The sequence below is a fragment of the Homo sapiens genome, chromosome 16, assembly GCF_000001405.40.
Source record: "Homo sapiens chromosome 16, GRCh38.p14 Primary Assembly".
In the NCBI taxonomy this organism is placed as follows: Eukaryota; Metazoa; Chordata; class Mammalia; order Primates; family Hominidae; genus Homo; species Homo sapiens.
The window spans coordinates 80,984,198-80,998,176 of NC_000016.10; the positions used below are offsets into that span (position 1 = coordinate 80,984,198).

The 13,979-nt window shown below is 37.7% G+C and overlaps 1 protein-coding gene across 11 annotated transcripts in view; it reads right to left on the reverse strand.

The window, feature by feature from the left end:
* The window catches only part of CMC2 (C-X9-C motif containing 2), a 40,438-nt gene that overhangs the window by 17,750 nt on the left and 8,709 nt on the right, over positions 1-13,979 (reverse strand). For 7 of the 11 annotated variants that reach the window (NR_147841.2, NR_147840.2, NR_147838.2 and 4 more), the window contains one exon: positions 13,117-13,232. The exons of 2 other annotated variants lie outside the window; for them this stretch is intronic. Coding sequence is in view for 5 of the 9 variants with exons in the window: in NM_020188.5 (NP_064573.1) it covers positions 13,117-13,197 (81 nt within the window). In the remaining 4 variants the exon portion in view is untranslated. Of the gene's footprint in view, positions 1-12,725; positions 12,824-13,116; positions 13,480-13,979 lie in introns of those variants that run through there. 2 more of the 11 variants (NR_147839.2, NM_001351973.4) reach the window with 2 other exon arrangements.

Sequence of the window (13,979 nt, forward strand, 5' to 3'; positions counted from 1 at the left end):
CCTGAATTTCAGTAGGAACATAATTAGTGTGTTTGCACTTCACGATTTTCAAGGGTGGGTCAGACAGCATGGTGATCTGTTTTATAATGACAGGTCATAAATGCTGAACTTGGTAGTTGTAATAATAAGCACATCTTTTCCTTTTCGTTCTAATTAAGGCTTTCATGGAAACCAGACAACACATAATTAATAAGCTATGCCTCATGCTATTTCTTTTTTTCCTGCTTCACCACCATTTTAAACGTACGTTTCAATTCCACACTGAATAAGTGGTCAGTTTTTCCAGAAAGCATTTAACATAGACTAAAGTCTCCTATTTGTTACCTAATGACCTTTCCAGAATAAATTTTTTAATTAAAAAAACTTTTTGTACTTAATTTTTATTTTACTTTTTTCTTTCCTCTATCATTCCCAAAGAATAAATATTTCCTGTGTATTTTACTATACTACTACTTCCTTGACAACAAATAAACATGACAATGCATTTTCATGCCTTCAAGTCAAGTAGACTTTTCAAATGTGAGGCAATATTACATAGTTGACATTTATTCATATCATTCCACATATGTACATCTTAATTCAAAAATCCATGACAAAAACTAATTTATATGCTTCCTTTTACCTCAATATTAACTAAGGTAAAATGAGAATTATACTCTTGTGATGTTACATGAAAAATATTAGACCCAAGTGCCCCAGAGAAATTGGTAGAAGAAATGCCCACAGGCTACAATTTTCTTATACTTACATGGACTGAGTCTCTAGTGCCTGGTGTCAATTTCTTGAGAACCAAACCAACCGAGTAACTGATTGAATAAGTGAATCAACAGATATCTGCGAACCTTTTACATAAAGAACAATGTCCCAGGTACCAGGGACACAGAAGTGAGCAAGGTGGATCTGGGTCCTACTCTCACAGTACATAGTCAGAGGGAAAGAGGCAAATAAGAAGTCACTGCCATAAAGCAGTGGTTCTCAAAGTGCAGTCCAGAGACACCGAGGGGTTCCTGAGACCTTTTCAGGGAAGGTACAAGGTCAAAACTATCTTCTCAATAATACAAAAACATTTGTTTTGTTCATTTTCATCCTCCCACAAGGGTATAGCGGAGTTTTCCCGGGGCTACATGAAGTCTAACATCACAACAGATTGAATGTAGAGGCAGACATGAGAATTCAGGTATATTTTATTAATTCAGACATTTAAAAAATGAAAAGCAATGCAATTCTTTTCGCTTTTTTCTGGTTTGAAAAATAAGATTTTCGTGAAAAATAACTATGCTAACATGTCATCTTAACATGTAAAATTATAATTTATCATTGTAATTTTAAAATAATTTTTTCTTCATTTCTCAGCCTTCATTTCTAATCCAATAAATATTGTAGATATCACCCACATAAACAATAGCTCCCTAGAATCCTAAATAATGTTAAAAGAGTGCAAAAGAGTCCTGAGACCAAAAAGTGTGAGAACTGCCACGAAGGAGAAAAGCTGTTATGTATGATGCTACTCAAACAGAGTGACTGCACCAGGAGAATCTAGGCCAGGAAAGGGAAAAGGAAACGACCAACTAAGCTGAAGAAAACCTGAAGGATGATAAGACCTGGTTTAGCAAACAGTAAGTGGAGCCAGGAGGAATGCACTAAGCTCAGCAAAGGAAAAATCAAGGCTTGGAAGACAGAAATATCATTCTCCCATATACCTGCAAAAAAAAAAAAAAAAACCACAGGAATGAAGGGGAAGGAGCTGTGGGAGAGTGGTGAAGACTAACAGCTACTCAAGGATGAGTTTCATTAAGGACTTGAAACACAAGGCAAGACATTTATAACGCATTGTATAGGCAAAAGGATCTATTAAAAAGGTGACAATGAGCCAGGTGCGGTGGCTCATGCCTGTAATTCCAGCACTTTGGGAGGCCCAGGCGGGCGGATCACCTGAGGTCAGGAGTTTGAGGCCAGCCTGGGCTAACATGGTGAAACCCCATCTCTACTAAAAATACAAAAATTAGCCAGGCATAATGGCCTGGTACCTGTAATCCCAGCTACTCGTGAGGCTGAGGCAGGAGAATCGCTTGAACCGGAGAGACGGAAGTTGTAGTGAGCCAAGATCATGCCACTACACTCCAGCCTGGGCGACAGAGAGAAACTCTGCCTCAAAACTAACTAAATAAATAAATAAAATGCAGATTCCTAACAGCTACAGTGAGCTGAGATTGTACCACTGCACTCCAGCCTGGGCGACAGAGTGAAACTCCGTCTCAAAAGAAAAAAAAAAAGGTAACAATGATTAAACTTATTTTTGAAAGATCACTCTAAATCCAGGGTGGAAAATTGATTTAAACAAAAAAGAAAACAAAACCGCCAGGAGACCAGATAGAAGTCCTTTACAGGTGGCCCCAATAAAAGTGTTGCCATGGACTATGGCAGTGGCACTGGCAAAGGAGAACAATGGTTCAAGAGAGATTCGGCAGAGAACACACAGCCCTGGTAAGGACTCACAGGAAGAGGTGAGGCAGATGGAGGAATTAAAGATGACACTGGCTTTCAGCCAAGAATGACAGTGGAAGTTTTAAAAAGAGATAAGATAAATTTGTATCTGGACATGTTGAGTTTATTGGTGGAACAGTTAAGTCCACTATCTAGCTGAGATAAACCTGGAACTCAGAGAAAATCTGAGCCAGAGATACAGATTTGGGAGTTACTGAAACCAGGAAAGCGAATGATTTTTTGCAGGAAGGTGTAGCCTAGGGTATCCTGAAGAGTGGCCAAAAAAACTTAAGGAAAACCAGGGAAGAGAAAGTTATGGTAGAAGCCTGTGGAAGAGTGTTTTGAGAGGGAATCAATTGCTGCTGGGAGAAAAGTGAGGTAACTACTGAAAACATCCACCAAATTTGCCAGTAGTGCAGTCATTAGTGATCTTGAAAGTTTTGGGACCCTAGTGAGGGTAGAAGCCAACCTGAAAGAAGAAAGCAGTATTCTTTCAATAGCTCTGAAAGGGACGCTAACACAAGATACCAGAAGGCTGGGATTATGGGAAGGAATCTTATGTATTTATTTTCTCACGATGGAAAAAAAGTGGGCATTTCAAAATGCTAATAAGAAGAAGAGAAAAAGGGAAAATACAAAAATTTTTAAATGGTGGAAAAACCCAGTACTTAGTGAGTTTATCTCTGGATGGTTGAACAAAAGGTAATTTTTGTTTGCTTTATACTTTCCTACTTTTTTAACACTATCTAAAATGATATGTATTATTTACATATTACTTTTATAAATCAGAAAAAATACACAAGGATTTCCAAGTAGCTTTGACGAAATAAGCTGTTCTAAATTCTGTATTTTACCTTCAGATGCAAAGAATATCTAAGTCTTGCTGACAAATTTAGGCAAAATAGGCCAGTAGATCAGAAGCCACCCACAGACACCTGAAAGCTGTGGAAATAACACTTGCCTGCAAAGATCACAGCAGAACTATAAAAGCACGGAAAGAATGATAAAAGCACAGCAAGGTAGGCTATTTGGAGATAAAACACTCATGCACTTCAAGCAGGTTGGAGAGCACTGCAGCATTCCAGCACAGACAGGGGTATTCAGGAAGACTAATCAACAAAAAAGACTAAAACAGAATTACACAAACTCAGGGCTAGAAGACATCTTAGGTAATATAATTCACTCGATTTATTAATTAAATAACTGGGATCAGGCCAGGCACAGTGGCTCATGCCTGTAATCCCAGCACTTTGGGAGGCCAAGGTAGGAGGACAGCTTGAAGCCAGGAGTTTGAGATGAGCCTGGGCAACACAGGAGAGCCTGTCTCTAGGAGGAAAAAAAAAAAAAATTGAATTAGCCAGGCATGATGGCACACACCTGTACTCCCATCTGCTCAGGAGGATGAGGCAGAAGGATCACTTGAGCCCAGGAGTTCAAGGCTGCTGTGAACTTTGATTGTGCCACCGCACTCGAGCCTGGGTGACAGAGTGAGACATCCTCCCGATAAACTTTTAATTAACTTTTCCCCCCCAGATATAGACCTGCAGAATTATGGTTGTTTTAAGTCACTAAGTGGTGGTGGTGTTGCTGTTGAGAGACATGGTCTCACTCCGTTGCCCAGGCTGAAGTGCCGGAGTGACATCATAGCTCACTATACACTCAAACTCCTGGGCTCAATTTAACACTTAAAAAGTGCAAGTCTTCAGAAAGATCAGTTAGGTAAAGTATTTCTTGATGACAGCAGATGTCTTTAAAAACATTTGTCAATTTCAAACTTGAAGAAAAGTTCCAAGAACAGTACAAAGAATTTCCAAATAGTAACATTTCACCAAATTTGCTTTATCCTTCTAGCTCTTACATATACACCCGAGCTTTTCTTCTGAACCGAGTAAGTTGCAGATATGATGCACGTTTCCTAAAAAAAACAAGGACTTAAATTTAAGTCTCCATACGATTACCAAAATTAGGAAATTAACATTAACACTAGTATCTAATTTATAGACCTTATTCAAATTTCACCAATTTGCCTAATAATATCATTCATGCAAAAGGCAAAAAAAGTTGGGTGGGTTTTTTTTCCCGATCCAGGATTGCCATTGCATTTAGTTGTCACGTCTTTTTAGTCTTTTTTTTTTCCAACTCTAAACAATATTTTTCTTATCTTTAATCTTTATTTGAAACAGCTTGTCTCTTTTTTCTTTCATTACCTTAACATTTTAAAGAGTACAGGCCAGTTATTTTGCAAAATGCTCCCCCACGTGGGTTTGTCTGGTGTTTCTTCACAACTCGATTCAGGTCGTGACTTTTTGGCAGGAATACCCTAGAAGTGATGTTGTGTCTTCAGTGTATCACATCAAGAGGCACATGGCAATTTGTCCCATTATTGATGTTAACTTTTATTACCTAGGTAAGAAGCTACCTGCCAAGTTTCTACACCGTATTCGTTTTTCCTCTCTAATTATTATGGGGACACACTTTGAGACCATTTAACTATCCAATTATTTCCTCAAACTTTTCACCCACTAGTATGAGGATCTATTAATGATTACTGACTAAATCAATTACTACTACAACAGTTAACAAAAAGTGATTTTCTAATTCTAGCACTCCTCTTATATTTTAGTTGGCATTCTACTGTAAGGGAAACTTTCCCTTCTCATCCATTTATATATTTATATGAGTTTGGACTCATGGATCCTTATTCAATTGATTATATTATTTTCATTACTTTGATGCTCTGCCCCATTTTTGGCCAGTGGGAATCCCTTCAAGCTAGCCCCTGTCCTTTTAACAGTCCCTATCATTCTTTGATAAATGTCATACTTTCTGGTACAAGATGTTGCAGGTTCTTCTTGTTCTTTCCCAGCCCTAGCCCTACAATCAGTCATTTCTCCAAGGATCCCTGTTTCTGTTTACGGAAGAGCGGTATTTAAAAAACAAAATCTGGGCGTTACGTATGCTCATTGCTACAGGAAAACATATATTGAATATATACATGAAACAAACATAGACACACATTATCTATTCTACATCTTATATATATTGAAAACCATGAGTTCACACTGATACCTCTAATTCCAATCCAACATCACAGGATACATCCTAGTCTTTCCACTTCTATATTTATGACAGTAAGAAACCTGTCTCTTTTCGTCTACAATATGTTTACTTATTTGCTCAGTCTTGGAATACACAGAATACATAGAAGCCAGTGTCAGAACTGCCAATCCACACTGCTGCAAAATCCATACTACTAACAACAGCTCTACTTTGTCTTTAGCCTACGTTCAAATTACTTGGGTTAGTTCATTTTTTTCTTTAGTGTAATTAGATGACTCATTTCAAGTAAGTTTGTTTGGTTTTGCTTGTATTCCATTTTTGAGTTTTCTTCCCAACTCTGCTCATCCTTTTTTTCATTCCCTCCCCTTTTTTTGAGTATATGAAACATTAACAAAGTTCAAACAGCATGAATTATACAAAACATATAATTTTTTTCTGTTGTTTTTTGAGACACAGTCTCACTCTGTCACCCAGGCTAGCGTCCAGTGACACAGTCTCAGCTCACTGCAACCTCTGTCTCCCAGGTTCAAGTGATTCTCCTGCCTCAGCCTCCTGAGTAGCTGGGATTACAGGGGTCCGCCACCACGCACAGCTAATTTTTTATTTTTGGTAGAGATGAAGTTTTGTGATGTTGGCCAGGCTGGTCTCAAACTCCTGGACTCAAGTGATCTGCCCGCCATGGCCTCCCAAAGTGCTGGGATTACAGGCATGAGCCACCGCCACCGGCCAAAAGATTTTGTAAAAGTGTCACTCCTCCACTCTCTCTGCTTTGCTCCTACCAACCTCTCAGAACGTAATCAATCTCATTAGCTTCTGGTTATCTTGTTTCTTTTTGCACAAATGAAGAGATACAAATATGTTTTGCTATCTTCTCCTCCTTTTTTATACAAACGCTAGGATACTATAAATACTGTTTTGTCCTTTGACTTCTTCACGAAATATATCCTGGAAGTCATTACATGTTGGTTCAAAGAAATTTTTTTTTCTTCTTTTCAGAGGCAGGGTCTTACTCTGTCACCCAGGCTGGAATGCAGTGGCACAATCATGACTTACTGCAGCCTTGACCTCCCAGGCTCAAGTGATCCTCCCACCTCAACCTCAGCCTCCTGAGGAGCTGGGACTACAGGCATGTGTCATCTAGTGACATAATTTTTTTTAATTTTTTCTAGAAACAGGTGTCTCACTATGTTGCCCATGTAGGTCTTGAACTCCTGGGCTCAAGCAATCCTCCCGCCTCAGACTCCCAAAGTGCTGGGATTACAGGACTGAGCCACCAAGCCTGGCTTTTTTTTTTTTTTTTAACAGCTGCACTGCCAACTGAAAGACTCTCAGTGGCCAAAGCTGGAACAATTTGAGCAACAAAACAAAGTAGTATTGGATTATAACCCAAGGTATAAAGTAAATATACATGAGTCCATACTGACATAAGTAAATAAATGGGGGAGAACAGGCAACTCTCCAGAACAGAATTCCACAAGATTATGTAGATACTCCACCACCTTGGAGGAACAGGGTAACTTCCCAGTCCTTACGTGTAGGCTGCACACAGTGACTTCCTTCCAAAGAGTTATGAAAAGGGAGAAAAAGAGTAACTTCAAAGCAGAGAAACCTAGCCACGTGCAATAGCTCACATCTGTAATACCAGCACTTTGGTAGGCTAAGGCAGACAGATTGCTTGAGCCCAGGAGTTCAAGACCAGCCTGAGCAACATGGCGAAAACCCGTTCTCTACAAATATACAAATACAAAAAATTATTCGAGCATGGTGACGTGGCCTGTAGTCCCAGCTACTCGGGAGGGTGAGATGAGAGGATCACCCAGGCCCAGGAGGTTGAAGCTGCAGTAAGCCAAAATGACACTACTGCACTCCAGCCTGGAAGACATAGTGGACCCTGTCTCCAAAAAAAAAAAAGGTACAGAAACCTAACACGTATCTCAGCCAGGTGATCAACGTCAACATTAACAGTGATAAATTATGTTGTAGTATGCAGCCTTGATGAAAATGTACTTTACCTCTGTGGTCTTCATCCGAAAACACATGATCCCAATCCAATTATGAGGAAAACAAGACAAATTCAAACAGAGGAGCATTCTACCAAATACCTGGCCATTATGCCTCAAACCTTTTCGGGTCATCAAAAACAAAGAAAATGTCACAGATAACAGGAGCCTAAAGAGTGACAAGAACTAAGTGTAATGTGTATCCTGGACGGAATCCTGTAACAGAGAAAAGACATTAGGTAAACACTAACCTGAAGCAATCTGAGTAAGCATGGACTTTAAATAACGATCATGTATCAATATTGGTTTATTAACTGTAACAAACACCTTATCAATGTAAGATGTTAATAATAAGGGACACTAGATGTGAGGTATATGGGAACTCCCTGTACTGCATTCACAATTTCTCTGTAAATCTAAAACTGTTCTAAAAAAACAAAGTCTATTTAAAAATAAAAATTACAAAACAGCTGTATAGTGCTCCATTGTGTGGATGCACCATAGGTCGTTCAACTACTTTACGTTGGGAAAGTGTGTTCCCAACATTTTCCAAGTGCAAACAACACTGCAGTAAATAACTCTATGCATACATTTTTTCATACTGTTAGAGTTATACTTTTAAGATAAATTCCTATAAGTGGGACTGATGGATTAAAAAGCAAATATACGGCAGTTTTGCTACAAGGCAGCAAATTCCTCTCTATAAAGATTATAACAATTTGCAGTCCCATCAGAAATGTATGAGGGTATACAGTGTTGCCAACAGAATGCGCTGTCACACTGTTTAATTTGGCCCCCCTGCAGATAAGTAATGGTATGTTCAGTATATTTAATTTGTATTTCTCTAATTATTGAGGTTGAACATCTTCTCATGTTTAAAGGCCATCTTTTCTTTTTTTTTTAAATTGTCTCTCATGCTTTTGCTCATTTTTCTCTCTGATTTTTGGCCTCTTATTCCCCCTCCTTTTTTTTTTTTTTTTTGTGTAAAGACAGGGTCTCACTTTGTCACACAGGCTGATGTGTTGTACTGCAGCCTCAAACAACTGGGTAAGTGATCCTACTACCTCAACCTTCCAAGTAGCTAGGACTACAGGCATGTGCCATGCCCGGCCACTTTTATTTTTATTTTTTGTAGAGACAGGATCTTGCTATGTTGCCCAAGCTGGTCTGGAACTCCAGGCCTCAAACGATCCTTTATCAATCTTTGATTTTATTGTCTCTGGAATTCAGGGTCCTTACTTAGGCACACTTTCCCCACACCTAGGTTATATAAGAATTTATCCAGGTTTCTTAGTGTTTGTATCGTTTCATTTTTGACATTTAGATGTCTGCCCCATTAGTTGATTCATATGTATGGTATTCTAACTTTTTCCAAACAGCTATGTAATTGTCCCCATGCTATTTACTTAAAAATCTATTTTCCAGACTTCTGCTTCTAGCCATGAAAGAACAAACTGAATATATAAAACAACTATTTTCAGATATTGGGACAACAGACTACAGGACTGTGATAACTGAAAGAAAAAAACAAAACAAAGTGAACCCTACATTCACCTAGCTTTCTACCCACAGACAATTTCCAAACCATGTAGCAGAGAACAGAACTCAAGAGGAGAATGGTAGTTTCACCGAGCAGAGGAGGCAAACGTCAGAGGAATTCGGGCAGGCTGGGGCAGCCGGAATTTGTGAGGTAGAGATAAGCAGCAAAAGAACTCCAGAAATCTACATGGAGCTGCCTTGAGTCACTGACTGAGTATTCACTACACATGTATTGGGTGACTTTCACAATGCCATAGTCACTACGAAGAACAATTACAGCAGCTACAAGCTGAAAAACGCAGAGCTCACACAGGGCTGGGAGTCAATGGAGTCCTTATAAGCCAAAGTAGAGATCTCATTGAATATGCAAGTCAATCAGTAAAGAATCCTAATTTAGTAATTGGGCTAAGCTAACTCTAGAGTAAAGACTATGCCAGCTATGCCCTAAAAATATGTAAAAACACGAACTGCCTGCTGATACAAAAGATAAAATCCAAGTCATCAACAATGTTCAGCCTCAAAAAACAAAAAACCAGTAAACAAGTTTTTTGTAGAAAATGACAAGCTGATTCTAAAATTAATATGGAAATGAAAGTACTTAGAATAGCCAAAACAACTTTGAAAAAAGAACAAAATTGGAGGATTTATACTATATGACTGAGACTTACTACAAGGCAACAGTAATTAAGACAGCATGGTACTGGTGTTAAGAAGAGACATATAAATCAGTGAAACAGACTAGAGAGCCCAGAAATAGACCCACTCACATATGGTAAATTGATTTTTGACAAAGGGACCATGGTAAATCAGCAGGGATAGAACAGTCTCTTCAACATATGGTGTTGAGACAACTGGCTACCCACAGGCAAAGAAAATCAACTTCAACTCACACCTCATACTATACACAAAAATTAACTTGAAATCTCAGATAAGAATACACAAATATCAAAAGAAAAAAATGAAATTAACTTGAAACGAATCATAGACCAATGTAAAGCTAATACGATAGAACTAAAAGAAAATACAGGAGTATCTTTGTGACCACAGAATACACAAAGATCCTTAAGACACAAAAAGCACAAACCATGAAAGAAAAAAAAAAGACTTCATCAAATGTACAAGCTACTCTTTGAAACACATCCTAAAGGAAGTAAAAAAAAAAAAGCCACAGAGAAAATATTCACAATACACTTATCAAAGGATTTGTATCCCAAATGATAAAAAGAATGCTTATAACTCAGTCATAAAACAATCCAATTTTAAAATACAGGCAAAAAATTTTATATGAATGGCCAAAGAAGCACATGAAAAGCATGTCAAAATCATTAGTCATCAGGGAAATACAATTTAAAACCAAAAGGAGATACTACTACATATCCACACAATGGCTGAACTTAAAAAGTTTATAATATTAGGCAGTGGTGATGGACAGTGGTAGGAATGTAGAGTAGTATAAAATGGAAAACAGTTTGGTGGCCTTTTATGAAGGTACATATACACTTAACACATGACCTAGTCATTCCATTCCTAGGTATTTACCCAAGAGAAATAAAATGATGTTTACACAAAGACTTGCACATGATGGCTGGGTGCGGTGGCTCATGCCTGTAATCCCAGCACTTTGGGGGGCCATGGCAGGTGGATCACCTGAGATCAGGAGTTCGAGACCAGCCTGACCAACATAATGAAACCCCGTCTCTACTAAATATACAAAAATGAGCCAGGTGTGGTGACACACACCTGTAATCCCAGCTCCTCAAGAGGCTGAGGCAGGAGAATTGCTTGAACCTGGGAGGCAGAGGTTGCAGTGAGCCAAGATTGGGCCCCTGCACTCCAGCCTGGGTGACAGAGCGAGACTCTGTCTCAAAAACAAATGACTTGTGCATGAATGTTCATAGCAGCTTTATCCAAAATAGCACAGCTGCAAACTGTTTATTTGCCTAAATGTCCATTAATAGGTAAATAAACTGTGGCATATCCATACAATGAACTACTACTCAGAAATAAAAATAAATGAACTAATGACATGTGCAACAGCATGTTATGACCCTCAAAAACATATCATGGTGCAAAATATAGGAATATACAATGTAGGCCAGGTGCAGTGGCTCATGCCTGTAATCCCAGCACTTTGGGAGGCCGAGGCGGGAGGATCACCTGAGGTCAGGAGTTCGAGACCAGCCTGCCCAACATGGTGAAACTCCGTCTCTACTAAAGATAAAAAAAATTAGCCAGGCCTGGTGGCGCACGCCTGTAATCCCAGCTACTAGGCAAACTGAGACAGGAGAAACACTTGAACCTGGGAGGCGGAGGTTGCAGTGAGCCAAGATCGCGCCACTACACTCTAGGTTGGGTGACAGAGTGAGACTCCATCTCAAAAACAAAAAGAATATACGATGTAGTGTAAATTTCTAACAAATTCTAGAACTGCAAAATTCATCTATATCAACAAAAAGTAGTGCAGTGGTTACCTGGGCAAGACGTAAGTTAAGGGTTGGGGACTCACTGCAAAGGGGCACAGGAAACTGATAGAAATGTTTTAGATCTTGACTGTGATGGTGGTTGCATGGGTATCTATATATGACAAAACTCATCAAACTGTATACTTAAAATAGATGCATTTCCTTACATGTAAATTACACCTCAATAAAGTTAATTTTTTAAAATCCATCTTTAGTTCCAGTGATTCAAGAAGCCACCTTTATTATAAGAAATCCATTTGAAAGAAAAAAAAAACAACAACGTTTAAATAGATTTCAATTTAAAAACAGTCATGGACCAAAAAGCAATATACAAATATAAACATAAAACAAAGATTACTTAAAAGCAAGGGTTGAAAAACTCTGCCCCTTAATTTGATTAACCATGGAAATAAATATGATGCGATAATATCCTTATTTATGTCTAGTATTACAAAAAGCACAACATAAATCTAAAGGGCTATACTGGCAAAATCCTCAATAACAAGACTGAAATGTTATTCCACAGAGTCTCTTTCTCTCCGCTGTGCCTCTCTGTTGCCAGACCCTCTCCCCTTTTCTGTCTCTGACTATAACTGACCATATACAAATTGAAATATTCTACTTTAACACAAATAATTAGTTCTTGTTCTTTAAACAGTGAATATTTTATATAGTTTTTACTTTAAAAATCAAAACGTTATGTTTTATTGATGTAGTCTGGCTCATTTGATCTATATGTATAGTGAAATAGCCCAAAAAATATTGTCATCAACAACATTCTTTGAACCAGTAAAAATATCTGACTTCACATTTTATAAGCACTACTTACCACCTTACTTTTGGTCTATAAATTTTACTCATTTAAGTGATACTTTATATTATTATAATTTGATATATCTACAGTTTGTAGACATCATGAGAAAAACTATGCAAAGCTAAAGAAAAAACAAATGCTTCTTGTAACAACGGTGTCATATATCAAACATATAAGGAAAAGCTAAATATTCAACAGCTATAAAAATGTCAGCTTGATTTAATGTATTCCAAATATGGATGGGCTCCTTTTCTATTTTGGTTTTAACCATGTAATTTTACTTCCATTCCACTAACAACTAAACACATCAGATTAAGCCAATCATAAATCTAGTTAATGTCTAATTATATAACACGTTTCTATTACCATTAAACACAGAATGGTAGCCATCAAAGAGCAGATACTTTTAGAATAATTCCATTATAATCAGAAGTGTCAGCGCTGAATATAACTGTTCTAGTGCCCTATAATTAGGAAAGAGAAAGCATTTTATTGTAAGAACATGGATTCCAACTGTTACATACCAGTTCAGACGTTCCCTAACAAACTACCATGTCTGATTTTTACTAATCATAAAAGGAGGTAGTTTGTGTAAAAAAAAGAAAAAAATCGCACATATCAACTGCTAATCTTGACTAAACTCAGACTCCTTACTAAGACATTATCGTTTCCTTCTATCAACGGAGATAACATTTTACATCAGTGGGTTATAACTAAGTTTCATTTTGGCTGTACAGTCGTTTTTCTGAACTCTTACATTTTTGTGACATTCCTTAAGCAAGTTAATCAAGACGTTGCATTCTTCAGTGTGCAAGTGTGGAGATAAGTCAGGATGCATCTTTAGGAGATGAGGATGGATCACAGCAGTGCAACCTGTGGATACAAGAGTGTCTTGAATATGCATAAACACATTTGTTACGCCACCTAAAAGTATCTTCATAAGAACCTCTAGTGACCTTTATCAGAGAAGTATGTTAACCATTAACCAGCTGTGTGACCTCAGGCAAATTATTAAACTTGAGACAAAGCTTTCTAATTCAATGATTTAAGATATTCAGCAAGTTATCAGTAGTATTTAGAGAACCTACAGGTTCAGGAGAAAAGCAGGAAGCCTCAAGAGACCCAATCCCGGAAATAAGCACTAAAGCAGAAACAGCTTGCTTATATTAATAAGCCTGACTTCAAATATTTTCGCCACATTCTCGAAATTAACAACTCATTTTGTTCAGATGAAATTCTACCAATTAAGAGAATTGGCTTATTATTTTAAAATGTATATTATTCTGAGGGTTAAAGGGTCATTAGTCTCATATTAGTGTGAATATAGATTGCTTTTTTCTTAATAGCTGGCTGAAAAAAAAACTAAACAATGAAATGAAACCAGAAGTTGTGAAAAAAAATTTCAAATTTAACAGATATAGCCATAAAACTAATTATTACACTGAAAACATGAAGCTGAAATCCCTGAACTTAAGTTTAATTGGATCATCCACAAGGTGGAAAATTAGCAGCCAAGGTCAAAGGAAAAACATCATGGGCAGCTGTTCTTTTTTTTTTTTTTTTTTTGTAGTCAGGGGTCTTGCTATGTTGCCCAGGCTGGTTTCAAACTCCTGTCCTCAA